The sequence below is a fragment of the Homo sapiens genome, chromosome 5 (assembly GCF_000001405.40).
Source record: "Homo sapiens chromosome 5, GRCh38.p14 Primary Assembly".
Lineage (NCBI taxonomy): Eukaryota > Metazoa > Chordata > Mammalia > Primates > Hominidae > Homo > Homo sapiens.
The window spans coordinates 131,697,347-131,712,132 of record NC_000005.10 but is presented as its reverse complement, the minus strand read 5'-3'; the positions used below and the strand labels follow the sequence as shown (position 1 = coordinate 131,712,132).

Genomic DNA, 14,786 nt, shown 5'->3' with positions numbered 1-14,786 from the left:
TGACAGCTTAGGCAGGAAGGAGGCAAGGATGGATGAGAGAGTAAGTTTTGAAGCAGGGTGATAGGAAAAAAAAGGGTTCCAATCTGGTTAATTCTACTGTGTGTATGTGCATATATGCATGTGCATACTCTAGGAAACAAAAGTTTTATGCTGAGAAGAAGAGGTAGGGAAGGAGTTTGAAGAAGTAGATAATTTTTAAAGTAACGAGGGAAAGAAAGCTAGGACGAATTAAAAAGCTGACCATTGAGACATGGAAGGATTGCTGTACATGTGCTGTAATTATAGAAGTTCTTGCTACAGAAAAATAATATCTGTTAGCAATTTGAAAACTACAGTTGGCTGGATACAGTGGCTCATGCCTGTAATTTCAACACTTTAGGAGGCCAAAGCAGGAGGATCACTTGACCCCAGGAATTTGAGATCAACTTGGCAATGTATCAAGACTTTGTCTCTACTAAAAAGTTCTCAAAATTAGCTGGGCCTGGTGGCATGCACCTGTAGTCCTGGCTCATGGGGAGGGTTGAGGAGGGAAGATCACTGGAGCTCAGGAGTTCGAGCTTGCAGTGAGCTATGATTATGCCATTGCATTCCAGCCTACATGACAGAGCAAAACTCTGTTTCAAAAAAGGAAAGAAGAAACATGCAATTGTCACTTTTTAAAACAGAAAGCCCCGTATTCCATCCTAGTTAAATGTCCTTCATGGCTATTTAGACTATTTTCATGAAGCATAACTAACAGGTAACCCAGCTGCTTGCTTTCAGGCTATAATGTCCTTCTTGGGTCTTCAGACTGCAGTTACCTTTTCTTGATGAAGCATGTGGCAGCCACTTCTCTTGAACAGCTGGGAGTCTGGTCCCTGATGAGCTTCATTTGTGTTCCTCCTTCCACAGTGGCTGACTCCTGGTTTAGTAACCTTGGTTTCTTCCATTACTTTGTAACTTACAACTGGGTTAGAAAAACCAATTTTTAATTTGTCAGTAAGATCTCTTCTGGTTTTGCACCCTGTTGTATGCTGTGTGCCAAGTGCTTAGGTGGTTTTCTCCTCGCTGCAGTTGTAGGCACATACTATAATCTTCAAACAACTTTAAAAAAATGAATTTATTTGGCAAATATCAGATTAGATAGATAACATTATCGTACTTTTTCAAATCTTTAAAAATACTGCTTTACATTAGAAAGGATTGAACATTTAAAATAATTTTTACTTTATATAGCAGAAGCTTGTTTTTATTACATATAGATTTATTAGTAAAAATACATGAAGTTGTTGTTTCATATAAATCATGGCTAAAGAAACACCATCCTGTTTCAAAAATGGGAAAGACAGCTTGAATTCTTATTTAGTTTAAAAGTTTCCATCCATATTTGTTGGTCTGCTCTTGTGCTGCCTTAGCTCACCTTTTTTCCCTGACGCATTGTGGCTTCTCTAACAGTCCTCTTTCATGTGTATTTTACGTTTTTGCCATGTAGGTCTTTCACAGTTCTGCAGCCCCAGGCGGGCATTCTCTGAGCAGGGTCCGCTCCGCCTGATCAGGAGCGCCTCTTTCTTTGCAGGTTTGCGATGTGCTGTGTGGGTAGACTAGTTGGTGTGCCCCAACGGCTAGAATCTGTAGTTAAGCTGTGGAAACAAGAGAGTAGATGAATGCAGTTGGTGAGGTTGTGGTTAAGAAAACATTGCATTAGGAAGTATAAAAACTTAATTCCTTTTCTACTGAACATGTTCTTAAAGTTTCCAGACACCGGATTATCAGTAGAATTGACATTTTTATGAAATTTCAGTTTGTCATTTCTCTTGTGGCATAATGATTTTAACTTCAGAATCTGAAACCAAAACTTAATATGAACTTTATTTCTTATGATACCACTTGGAATTTTTAATGTGACACTGTCTTGTTTCCATGGCTGAGTAGCTTTTGTACCATAGTTCACCAATTGCAGAAAATTATCCTATCTTGTTATTATTGTAAAATTTCTGATCTACACTATTCCATAAGAGCAGTTTTTCTTGGAGCTAAGATTTAGATGAACAAGCACTACTATAATGCTCTGTAAAAGGCATATATGACTATATTTGCTTACATAATCAAGTTGATGATTGTAGAGTATGTTCATGTGTATATATCCAGGATTCTAATCATATTCCTTGTTTTCACACATTTTAGCGGATTACCTAACATTGTAACCTTTTAGTGGAAATTACTGGAATGTGAACACATTTACTCTTCATTGTTCTCAGATTGGTATCAATTTAGCCCTTCTTGTTTTGATTAATATTTTCTTTCCCTGTAAATATTAGATATAAAAAATATATATTTGTAGAAAACTTGGAAAACACTTTTAAAAGGCAAAAATATATATTAGCCATTTTATCAGCCAGAAATACCTGCTTTTTTGTTTTTTAAAGAAAATGGGGATCATACTATTCAAATAAATATCTCAATTTATTATAGAGAATTTTGAAACATACATTGTTATAGGCAGAAACAGTACAGTGAACTATGATATACCCACCACTTGGTCCCAGCAAGCACTCATACTGTTCAGTAGCTTGCTTTTTTTCATTTAATAGTATATTATAAATATGTCACTGAATATGCTTCCAAAATATGACTTTTAGTCACTCCTTGCTTCTTTAGATATTATGTTTTAGATTCTTATACTGTGTATCAAATCTTCACAGAGCTCTCAAAGCTTGTTCAACTGAGTAATAGCTCTTGGTGTTGGGTTGGTGCCATGCTATTGAAAAAAATAAGGGAATGCAATGAGATGAGCATGATTTCGTTTGCTATTTAAAAGGAGCTGTTCATCCACCTGAATAGCAATATATTTTATAACTGACAGTTTCATCTTTATTTATAGTTCACAGCAACCCAATGGACATGCCTGGAAGAGAGCTCAATGAGGACAGAGACAGTGGCATAGCACGGTCTGGTAATGTCACGTTCTTGTATTCAGTTTTTTATGAGATTACTGTTGGCATTGATTTTCTTTTTTATCCCTCCCTTTATTATCAAATTTGTTCATATTGATATTAGCCTTACAAGAGAACTGTGAAAAGACCAGAGCAAAGTCTTATAAATTTAATATTTTTCATGTTTACTTTTAAGTGTGCTAAGTAGGATAAAGCCAGGATGAAGTAAAGCCAGAGTAAAGTACACTGGTTGAAGCTTAGTGAATATAAGAAGAAAAGCATTGGTCAGAAAAACTGCTTAGAAACTGTAGTAAAAAAAAAACACGTTTGCTTATATTTGCTTGCTGCTAACTAAAGTTTAAATTGTCATATTGTCTCTTGCCCAGAAAAGCATAGGCATTTTGAATCAATGTTATACTTTTTTTTTTTTTCCAAATATGGACCTGTCCAAAATTTGTAGGTCTAGCAAACATTTATTGAAACATGGTGGACATTAAAAAAATTAAAGCCCAGAGTCTGCCCTTACGGAACACAGATGTATGGAGTCTACTGGGAGAAAAATTAGGAAAATCATCTGTCATAGGTCATTGTGTGATGCATTTAGTGATAGGCCTGCGCAAAAAGCTTCAGCGAAAGAGCACCACACTTAGCCTGGGCAAGGGGCAGGGATGCCAACAATGCTTTACAGAAGGATGATGATTGAGTTGTATTTTGAGAAATAAATAGCAGTTATCCAGGCAAAAGCTCAGAAAAGCATTTTAGCTAAAAGGAAAAGTGTTTGTTGGGGCCCAGAGAGCAGCATAAGTAAAAGGAGGAGTAATTTTAGGCTTGAATTACTGTTAGATATGAGAAACTTAATTCAGTGTGATAGCATGTGTTGTTACATTATATGGCTCTGCTATCGAAATTGTTTTGTAATTCAGTTTTGAGTATAAATGAAAAATCTAAACTTGCTGTATATTGCAATCCCTAGGTATGTATTAGAATAACAAAGAGAAGTTTTATAAAAAATTCAAGTGCCTGAACTCTACTTTCAAAGACTCTCGTGTAACCTAGAGAAGGTATCTCTAGGCATCTGTATTTGTGAAACAAAACAAAATGCAAAACCTAACACTTGATTCTAATGGATAGCTAGGGTTGCCGACCACTACTCTAATAAGAGTAGCTTGTGTTTTTCAAGTAATCTCATCTTTCTTTTCTAATTGAGTTTCTTATTTTTGTTTTAAAGAATCTAGAGTTTATTTCTTTTAATAAACTTTGCTTCGATGTAATCTAGATATTTAGTCTTCCCTGGCAGGAATTTAATTCTCATTATTTTATTTAAGATTTAAGTATAATTTATTTATACTTACATTCTTTGTAAGTTGAAGCATCTGGCTAGACTGATCTGTTAGGCTGCTTCAAGTTATTGGATTCATATATGCCATTTAAGTTAATGTGTGTTTTCTTTTTTTTCTAATAGGGTTATTTTTAATATTAGAATGCAGTGAAATGTATTTTTTCCAAACTTAGGACAGCATTTTATTTTTCACTGAAGTCATACCCAGATTTAGTTGTACATACCCAATCTTGGACTACAAGAGTTTATAATACTAATTGATAAAATGTGGTCTGCATTTAGAATCTGCATTCTAAAGTAATTTAGAATGAGTTCATTGATGGTCTACATGTTTGCATGGCACATACAGCTTTATCCTCTATCATTGAATTTGTCAGAATTCAAATGAATAGATCTTCATAATGAAAGTGTCTCAGTTTTTAGTGCTGGTGTCCAAAATAATTTATCATCTGGCCTGTACCTTTTTAATAGTGATGATAATGGTTCCCTGTTTTGAATATACATTTTCAGTATGTGCTTATGATCATGAAAGATAGAAGTCTGGAATATTGCCAAACAAAAGCAAGCCCTTAATGGCAAGTGTTATCCTCTCTAAATCCAGTGGGGAAAAGCCTGATGAAAATCTCCTAGCCTAATGAAAAATCAGCAGTTGTAGCTCTTAACACCTCAAGCAATAAACATATCTTACAGATTTCACAGAAGTGTTTCGGGAAGGGAATAATCCATCCCCAAGATCAGGGGATTGCAGCCGTGAAAGAGTGGAGTCTGCTGGAATGTGTTTGTCACCTTAGATGCTCCAGGGAGCATTCTTTTTTTGGAGCTTAGTAGGTATAGTCATGATTCTTAATTAAAAGTGGTAGGTTTGACTACATGTGCACATGTGATCCATGAATACTTGTAAATGACCTCTTTAAATGCCATTCAGACACTTATTTTCAATAGCTTGTTCTTAAAATCCAGCTGCTGCATTAAGTTTGAATAGCATCAGATTTCCTTTAATTTAAGAACTAAAAGGATTCAACTGAGTTAGGGGACAGTCAATCCAGTGGCCAAAGGGATAATGCCTTGTTGCAAAGTATAATTTTCTTCTGGAGTCCCTAGAGGGGAATGCCAAAAGGGGATTGTCTCAGAGTTTTTTGCTGATACATTGTTAATATATGATTTTTCTCCTCTGAGACCTTGCTACAAGAAGGATGTGTTCTTTTAATGAACATTTTTGAGGCTCATGAAGCAAAATAAAGTTTAACTTAACCTATTTGTAATTTTGTTAAAAAGAAATTTGTCATTATGCTTAGTCATTATTGACTTATACTTGTTGTTCTTCTGACTTAACAGCATCTCTCAGCAGCTTGCTGATCACTCCATTTCCTTCCCCAAACTCCTCACTTACCCGAAGTTGTGCCAGCAGCTACCAGCGACGTTGGCGACGCAGCCAAACAACAAGTTTGGAAAATGGGGTATTTCCTAGATGGTAAGTTGGAACTTTAAACACAGAACAAGATTGAGTAGTTCCTTAAACACAATTTTATATGGGTTTTTTAGAACCTGGACTTGTATTCTGTGTATTTTAAGTTTGAAACTGAAAACTTTTAAAATTTACTACATTTTTAAAATTGTGGTAAGTTATACATAACAAGTTACAATTTTAACCATTTTTAGGTGTACAGTTCAGTGACATTTGTTTAAATACCTTCATATTGTTGTGCAACCATCATCACCATCCAACTCCAGAACTTTTTCCTCTTCCCAGCTGAAACTCTGTATCCATTCAACGTAATTCCTCATTTCTCCCTTTTCTTCCTCTTGTAACCACCATTCTATTTTCTGTCTTTATGAATTTTCATTCATACCTTGTATGAATGAAATCATACACTGCTTGTCCTTTTGTGTCTGCCTTATTTCATTTAGCATAATGTTTTCAAGGTTTATCGATGTTGTAGCATGTGTCAGAAATTCATTCCTTTTTATGACTGAATAACATTCCGTTGTATATACATACCACATTTTGTTTATCCATTTGTCTATTGATGGACACTTGGGTTGCTTCCACTTCTTAACTATTGTGAATAATGCCGCTCTGAACATGAGTGTGCAAGTATCTGTTCGAGTCCCCATTTTCAATACTTTTGGTTATATATCCAGAAGTGGAATTGCTGGATCATATGGTAATTTTGTTTTTAAATTTGTGAGGAACTGTCACGCTGCACACTGTTTTCCATGGTTACTGTACCATTTTACATTCCCACCAGCAATGCACAATGGTTCCAATTTCTCCATATCTTCACCAGCACTTATTTTCTGTTTTTTTGATAATAGCCATCTTAATGAGTCTGAAGTGGTTCCTCATTGTGGATTTTATTTGCATTTATCTAATAATTAGTGAAGTTGAACATCTTTTCTATTCTTTTCTTTTCTTTCCCTTTTGAGTCGCCCAGGCTGGAGTGCAGTGGCATAATCCCGGCTCACTGCAGCCTCAACCTCCCTGGGCTCAGGTGATCCTTCCACCTCAGCCTCTCAAATAACTGGAACTACAGGCTTGCCACCACACCTGGCTAATTTTTTTTTTTTCTTTTTTTTTAGAGATGGGGTTTCGCCATGTTGCCCAGGTTAGTAGAACTTCTGGGCTCGAGTGATCCACTTGCCTCAGCCTCCCAAAGTGCTAGGATTACAGGCATGAGGCACCACATCTGACTTGATCATCTTTTCTTGTGCTTATTGGCTATTTGTATATCTTTTTTGGAGAAATGTCTATTTAAGTCCTTTGCCCATATTATAACTGCATTTTTTTGCTTTGTTGGTGATGTCTGGAAATTCTGTATATATTTTAGATATTGATCCCTTATCAGATATATGATTTGTAAATTTTTTTTACATTCTGTGGGATGCCTTTTTACTCCATTGATAGTGTCCTTTGATGCACAAAAGGTTAAATTTGTATGTAGTCCAGTTTATTTTTTTTTCCTTTGTTGACTGTGCCTTTTGTGTTATATCCAAGAAACCATTGCCAAATCAGTGTCATGATGCATGATGCCTTTACCCTTTGTTTTCTTCTAAGAGTTTTATGTTTAGGTCTTTGATTTATATACTACATGTTTTGATATTTCAGTTTTTCATGTTTTTATTTTGGCAAGGTAATTCATTCTTGAAAGATTAGTTTTTAATCTACATTAAGTACAACTGTAGATACTAAAAGTTCTTGTTTTCTCCTCTTTTTTATTTCCTTTATTCCTTCATCTTTGACTTTACTCCTGAAATCAAAAACAGACACCAGAAGGGCCTAGAACAGGGAAAAGATTGTACCAGACTCATCTATAAATCTTAAAATTTAGCCACTTTTTGGTTGATTATGAATTGGGATTATCTACTTCTTTAGTTACTTCTAATTGGACAAAAAAATGTTCCCAATCTGACTCTGTAGTAAAATTTCTTACAAGAACATGAACCTGAAAGAATAGCCAGTAGATTTCTTAAAGAGATATACAATTGGTATGAAATTATAGGTTTGTTTGATAAAACAGCAAAAGACTTAGCTTACCTACATTTAATTAGCAAGAAGATTAAATTGTGAATTTATTTTTACTTTTGTAAATTAATAAAAAATCATTTATTTTTAAGGTCTATAGAAGAAAGCTTTAATCTCTCAGATGAAAGCTGTGGCCCTAACCCAGGAATTGTGCGGAAAAAGAAGATTGCAATTGGGGTAATCTTTTCATTGTCCAAAGATGAAGATGAAAATAACAAATTTAATGAATTCTTTTTTTCACATTTTCCTCTCTTTGAAAGCCACATGAACAAATTAAAGAGTGCAATAGAACAGGTAAGCATAGTTATTTATTTATGTATTTTCCTTTTAAAATCTTATTCTCCCAATTAAGCATTATATTTATTAATTTGGCAGAAAAATTAACAGACGTTGTGCATGTGTCCTATAAAGTGCTCTGGTGGATGCAAATAGATTGAACCCTTTTTAAGGTGCTTACTGTCTAGTAAAAGATATAAGATCATTCATCCATTTGTTCTGTAAATAAATATTTGAGGGACTAAAATGTGGTAGACACCGTTCTACCAACTAAAGAGAAGTGATAAAAGCAACACTTCTGACCTCATGGGACAAATAAACATATGAATATAGATGTATGTAATAAGTCCTGTGAAGAAAAATAAAACGGAGAACGGTATATAAGGGATCCTGCAAGGAAGGATTACTAATTTTTATAGGCTAGTCAGGAATGCCCCTTATTAAAGGACATGTGAATGTGGTCCAGAAATACGGAGCAGGTGAGCTACAACCATCTGGAACGAGATATTCCAGGCAGGGGCAAAGGCCTTATTGCAGGAGTAAGCCTGATACTTAAGCAGCATTACGAGGCCAAGGTGCCTAGGTTGAAGTGAGACTAGATCATGTAGGACCTTATAAGATACCATTGTAAGAACATTAGCATTTATTCTTACAAAAGTATGAAAGATGGGAAACCATTGGAGGGTTTTCAGTGGAGGAAGAAGGACATTATTTATGAGGATCACTCTTACTGCTGGTGGATAATAGATTTCTAGGAGCAAAAGTAGATGTTGTGAGACCAATTAGCATACTGTTACAGTAATCCAGATGATGAATACGCAAACCACTTTAGTGATTGAATTGGTAAGAAAGAGTTGGATTCTAGATATATTTTGAAAACAGCCAGTTTGATTAGCTGGTAGACTAATCATTAAGGTTGACTCTAAGATTTTTTTAGCCAAGCAGTTAAAAGGATGAAGTTGCCAGCATTGAAGTGAGAAAGACTGCAAGCGAAACAGATTTGATAAAGGAAGATGGGTATTTTATATTTGCATATGGACATCCTTGTGTTTTTATGAGTCTGGAGTTTACCAGAGAAGTCATCAGTGTATAGATGGTATTTAAAGCCATGAAACTGATGGAGATTGGCAAGAGAGGACAGGCAATGGTAAGCCTGAGTTGTGGTGCATTTTAACATTAAGAGTTTGACGAGATGAGAAGGAACCAGCAGAGGCGAAGGAAAAGGATTGGCTATTCAATTAGGAGAAAAAACAAGAGTGTATTCTTTTGGGGAAAGCCAAGTACAGAAAGTATTTCAAGGAAGGAGTGATCACTTTTGTCAGTTGCTACTGAGATAGTATATACGATACAAATATGTATAGTAAATTGTGAAATATTAGAATCTAAGCTAAAAAGGAAGGACAAAGGTTTTTTAGAAATTTGGGGGAAAGTGAAATGACTTCCTATTGGGAAGAAGTTTCATTTGGACTGCATTTTGAAGGATGTATGGGATGTTTTGGAACATAAAGCTCTGAAAATTGGATATAGCAGAATAGCAAGAAAATCGACATTCTTGCCACCCAAAGGGAACACAGTAACTCATTGCTGAAAAATCTTATTTAGGCCTTTTTTATGCATATTGTGCTTTTACTTGGTAGGGATTGTGCTGTGTCTACATTTTTCAAATTATATGCCCATTTAAAAAAACTCAGATTGAGCAACATGGCAAGACCCGGTCTCTACAAAAAAAAATTTAAAAATTAGCCAGGCATGGGGGAGCACACTAGTAGTCTCAGCTACTAGGGAGGCCGAGGTGGGAGGGGTGCTTGAGCTCAGAAGGTCGAGGCTGTAGTGAGTTGTGATTGTGCCTCTGCACTGTAGCAACAGAGTGAGTCCCTATCTCAAATAGTAAAATAAAAAACATCATTGTCACATACACATTTCTCAAGTTATTGTAAATGGTTCTTACATATATTTTAGTAGGTCTCCTCAATTTAAGTAACAGTTTCCCTGTTAGGCCATTTCTACTTTTGCACAATTGTTGCTACCCTATCGTTAACATCTTGGCGAATTTTCCAGATTATTTTTTAGAGGAGATTCCCAGAAGTTGAGCTGATAAAATCAGTGGCTGTCACCAGAGTTTTTTGCAACAGTCTGTGGAAGGGAAAGGATACAAAGAGGAATAGTGAGAGGTACAACTGGCGAAGTTAATGAGTACCTGATGACAAAAAATGTAGCGTGCTTGCCAGGGAGTTCTGACTTTGTCTTTAAGGCTGTTTGCAAGTTGTACTTTGGGGAGATTAACTTGGCAGTGTGTTTTGTATATGGCTGCTGAAACGAGCACTTGGTAGTGCGTTTTGAAGAGACTGGAGTAAGAGACGAGAGGTGGGTAGACCCGTTAGAATGGTTTAGAAAGGAAAGGATGTATCTCAATAACTCATTAGTGACTAAGGATGATCTGCCTTTAGAGAAGACATAGATGTTAGTTATTCATATTGAGTATGTCAAAAAATAAATAGTTCATTAGCAATACATTTTTATTGAACAAATGAGTAAAGGCCATTTTCATTTACCTTTTCTTAAGTTAGACACTGATTACATTTCTTCAATTGGCTGCACTCACATTTTGTAGTCTAGCCAAAGTCATCACACACAGTAATAAGTTGTGGGTGAACTGACATTTTTAGTTATTTGGAGAAGTATTTCAAACTTTGTATAAAACTTGAAATAGGCATTATAGAACTCATTAAAGATTACTTTTCAAGTGTTTTCATGTTTTAACGCTTTGATAATTCTGTAACCTAAAGCAGCAGTCCCCAGCCTTTTTGGCAACCAGGGACCCTTTGTAGAAGATAATTTTTTCACGGATGGGGCTGGGGAGGTGGGGAGTTGCCATGGTTTCAGAGGCATTAGATTCTCATAAGAGTGTGCAACGTAGATCCCTTGCATGCACGGTTCACAATAGGGTATGCGCTCCTATGAGAATCTAATGCTGCCACTGATGTGACAGGAGGTAGCGCTCAGGCAGTAATGCTCGCTCACTTGCTTGCTCGACCCAATTCCTGACAGGCCACTGACGGGTACTGGTCCACGGCCCAGAGGCTGGGGACCCCGACCTAAAATGTACATTGTTAATGCTTATAGTTGTTTGGATATTTGTTCAATTGTAGTATCGCATTTTTTATTAAAGCTGAAAGATGAAATTAAATGAATGCTTTTACATAAGTGAATGGGACTTAATTTTTAAAGTTCTATAGTAGTTACTTAATGATAGAATATTATTAAGAATAGAATATAATAGTGAATATTGTACCATCCAAAGAAGTTATCTTCTAGGGCCAGTTTTCAGACTATTTTTTTTTTTAAATAAAAGCTATGGATTTTGTTTCTGAACACCTTGGCAATTATTTTGAAGTCTTCTATCTTTTGAGATTTGTGATTTAATTTAAAAATAGCATTGCTGATAAGATTAAGGAAGAACACTACCAAATTCTAGCAAAATAATATTCACTTCTTTATAAATTGCCAGTCTCTTAACAGTTTGAAAAAACATAAAGCGTGTTTCACTTTCACCCTCTGAAGCTTTTGGGTGTACAGGAACATGATTTCTGGCCTAAAGTAGGCTGACATCTTAATTATTTTTTTAAACAATATTTAATCACTTTGTAATTATATAAAGAATACAGAATTCAATTCTCTTTGAAAAAGTGTTAAAGATTAAAGTTCTTTTTGACCTCCATATCCTAATCCTGATCCCCTTTTTGCCTACCTAGATTAAGGCTTTTTAACCTTGGCTAAATATATTTTAAGAAAGCAAATATTGGCCAGGCATGGTGGCTCATGCCTATAACCCCAGCATTTTGGGAGGCCGAGGCAGGCGGATCACAAGGTCAAGAGATCGAGACCATCTTGGTCAACATGGTGAAACCCCATCTCTACTAAAAATACAAAAATTAGCGGGGCATGGTGGTGTGTGCCTGTAGTCCCAGCTACTCGGGAGGCTGAGGCAGGAGAATCGCTTGAACCTGGGAGGCAGAGGTTGCAGTGAGCCAAGATTGTGCCACTGCACTCCAGCTGGCAACAGAGCAGGACTCTGTCTTAAAAAAAAAAAAAAGCAAATATTACTAACACCTTTAGCTATCTTATTGTAGAATCTTTATATTCCCTTTTTTTTTTTTTTTTTTTTTGAAACAGTCTTACTCCATCACCCAGGCTGGAGTGCAGCAGTGGCATGATCTCAGCTCACTGCAACTTCAGACTTCTGGGTTCAAGCGATTCTCATGCCTCAGCCTCTTTCATAGCTGGGATTACAGGCGTGTGTCAACACACCTGGCTAATTTTCATGTTTTTAGTATAGACAGGATTTTGCCATGTTGGCCAGGCTGGGCAAATTTTTAAAAAAGAGTTAACAGGGCTGGGGGCAGTGGCTCATGCCTATAACCCCAGCACTTTGGGAGGCTGAGGTGGGTGGATCACGAGGTCAGGAGTTCAAGGCTAGCCTGGCCAACATGGTGAAACCCCATCTCTACTAAAAATATAAAAATTAGCCAGGCGTGGTGGCAGGCACCTGTAATCCCAGCTACTCGGGAGACTGAGGCAGGAAAATCGCTTGAACCCGGGTGGCAGAGGTTGCAGTGAGCCGAGATCGCGCCATTGCACTCCAGCCTAGGTGACAGAGTGAGACTCTTGTCAAAAAAAAAAAAAAAAAGGAGTTAACAGAAGTGTTATCTGTGAAATATAAGCATAAAACCATGAGTTGTTGTTACTGAGTTATCATTATGTCTTGTTCTGTTTGGGAAAAATAAGTTTTTTGTAACCCAGAAACTGTCAACATCAGTTTTTTTATGTGTTGACAGTCTGCAGTTTTAAAAATAAGAGATTGAAAACAGTCAAAAATTTTGAACTTTGTTCAACCATTCATTAATTACCAAATGTGTAGAAGAAAAAGCCACAATAAATGCATTTACTTTCTTTATTTCTTTCTCGATAAGAATTTTGATAGAGCGTTGTGTAAATATGTGACTCTGTCTAAAAAAGACTTTTTTCCATGTTTTGCTCATGATTAACATAAGAATTAACTATCTCAATGATTGTTTTCAAGGCTATGAAAATGAGCCGGAGATCAGCTGATGCCAGTCAGAGAAGTTTGGCATATAATCGAATAGTTGATGCCCTAAATGAATTCAGGTACATATTGCCCAGCTTTCCATAATGCAGTAATTCATAGTGTACACAGGAAGATTCATTTTTTCTTTAACTTGTTCTAATAAAATTTGATTTCTTTGTCCTATAGTCATATGATGGTGTAATTCAGTAGACCATTGGCTCCTATGTTATTACATCTCAAATGTGCTTGAGAATCAAGCACATTGAGAGCCATCAGTGGTATGTTTTTCAGTATTGGGCCATTTGACAAGCAAATATGACCAGGAAAGACCCTTGTTCTAGCAAAAGTATGCTTTGTTCTCTCTTGGGATCCTAGATGTAGGGACTGTTAAGTGTTATTTAACCAGTGGTAGTAATCAGATATTCTTGAATACATGAGATACAAGGATATATGGATATAAGGAACATGCACTTGATATTCTAAATGGCTTTGTTGCTTGATCCTTCCTCTAGATATGGCACAGTGAATAGTCCTTCCGCTAGGGTTTTCTGGCTCAACAAAGCTTGTACCTGAAGCCCCAACAACTGCTGTAGCTGTCTTCTAACTATGTGACATACATACTACAAATGATGTTATGTTGGGAATTAGTATACTAAGTGACTGATATGTCTCCCTCGACAAGAGGTTCGGTTTAGGTCTACTTCATTTTCTCAATCTTTCCTCCTTTAGACTAGAGAGATAGAATAGCATAGGGAGTGAAAACTAAGACTCTAGAATCTGTCAGACAGACGTGGATTTTAACCCTGGCTCTGTCATTTACTACCTCTGGTGATCTTGGGCAAGTGCATTAGCGTTTTTGACCCCTAGTTTTCTAGTATAAAATAGGTAAATTCAATTTAGTAATAATCTAATAGATTGTTATAAGGATCAAATGAAATTGTGTGTGTAAGGTACTTAGCAGAATGCCTGACATTAGTGGCACCATTCTTTTCTTTTCTTTTTCTTTCTTTTTTTTTTTTTTTTTTTTTGAGGTGGAGTCTTGCTCTGTCACCCAGGCTGGAGTGCAGTGGCGTGATCTTGCCTCACTGCAACCTCTGCCTCCTGGGTTCAAGCAATTCTCCTGCCTCAGCCTCCTCAGTAGCTGGGATTACAGACGCGTGCCACCATGCTTGGCTAATTTTTTTTTTATTTTTAGTAGAGACGGGGTTTCACCATGTTGGCCAGGCTGTTCTCAAACTCCTGACCTCAAATGATCCGCCCACCTTGGCCTCCCAAAGTGCTGGGATTACAGGCATGAGCCACTGAGCCTGGCCTATGGTAAACATAACCTACAGCAGTGCTTCCCCAACTTAAGTCACTTACATCATATCTTAACAATTTTGCCAAATTTATATATCATGTATACTTTTTAAATTTAGTGTTTCTCTTTAAATTTGACCATCTTTTATACCTAAATAAATCTATTTCAACATGAAACTTCATTACCCTAGATAGGGAAACAATATGCTTTACCATAATAAAACTAGCTATAAAAATAAATTTATAGTAACTAAAATTAAAAATATGTATCTGGGCCAGGCGTGTTGGCATGTGCCTGTAATCCCAGTACTTTGGGAGGCCAAGGTGGTTAGATTGCTTGAGCTCAGGAGT

General features: G+C 36.4%; 1 protein-coding gene across 4 annotated transcripts in view; it reads left to right on the top strand.

Annotated features, from left to right (window-relative positions):
• Positions 1 to 14,786, top strand: part of FNIP1 (folliculin interacting protein 1) — a 155,304-nt gene that overhangs the window by 84,885 nt on the left and 55,633 nt on the right. For 3 of the 4 annotated variants that reach the window (NM_001346114.2, NM_133372.3, NM_001346113.2), the window contains 5 exons: positions 1,472 to 1,555; positions 2,861 to 2,932; positions 5,587 to 5,722; positions 7,867 to 8,068; positions 13,131 to 13,216. In NM_001346114.2, coding sequence (NP_001333043.1) covers positions 1,472 to 1,555; positions 2,861 to 2,932; positions 5,587 to 5,722; positions 7,867 to 8,068; positions 13,131 to 13,216 — 580 coding nt within the window. The remainder of the gene's footprint in view (positions 1 to 1,471; positions 1,556 to 2,860; positions 2,933 to 5,586; positions 5,723 to 7,866; positions 8,069 to 13,130; positions 13,217 to 14,786) is intronic. The other variant, NM_001008738.3, reaches the window with a different exon arrangement.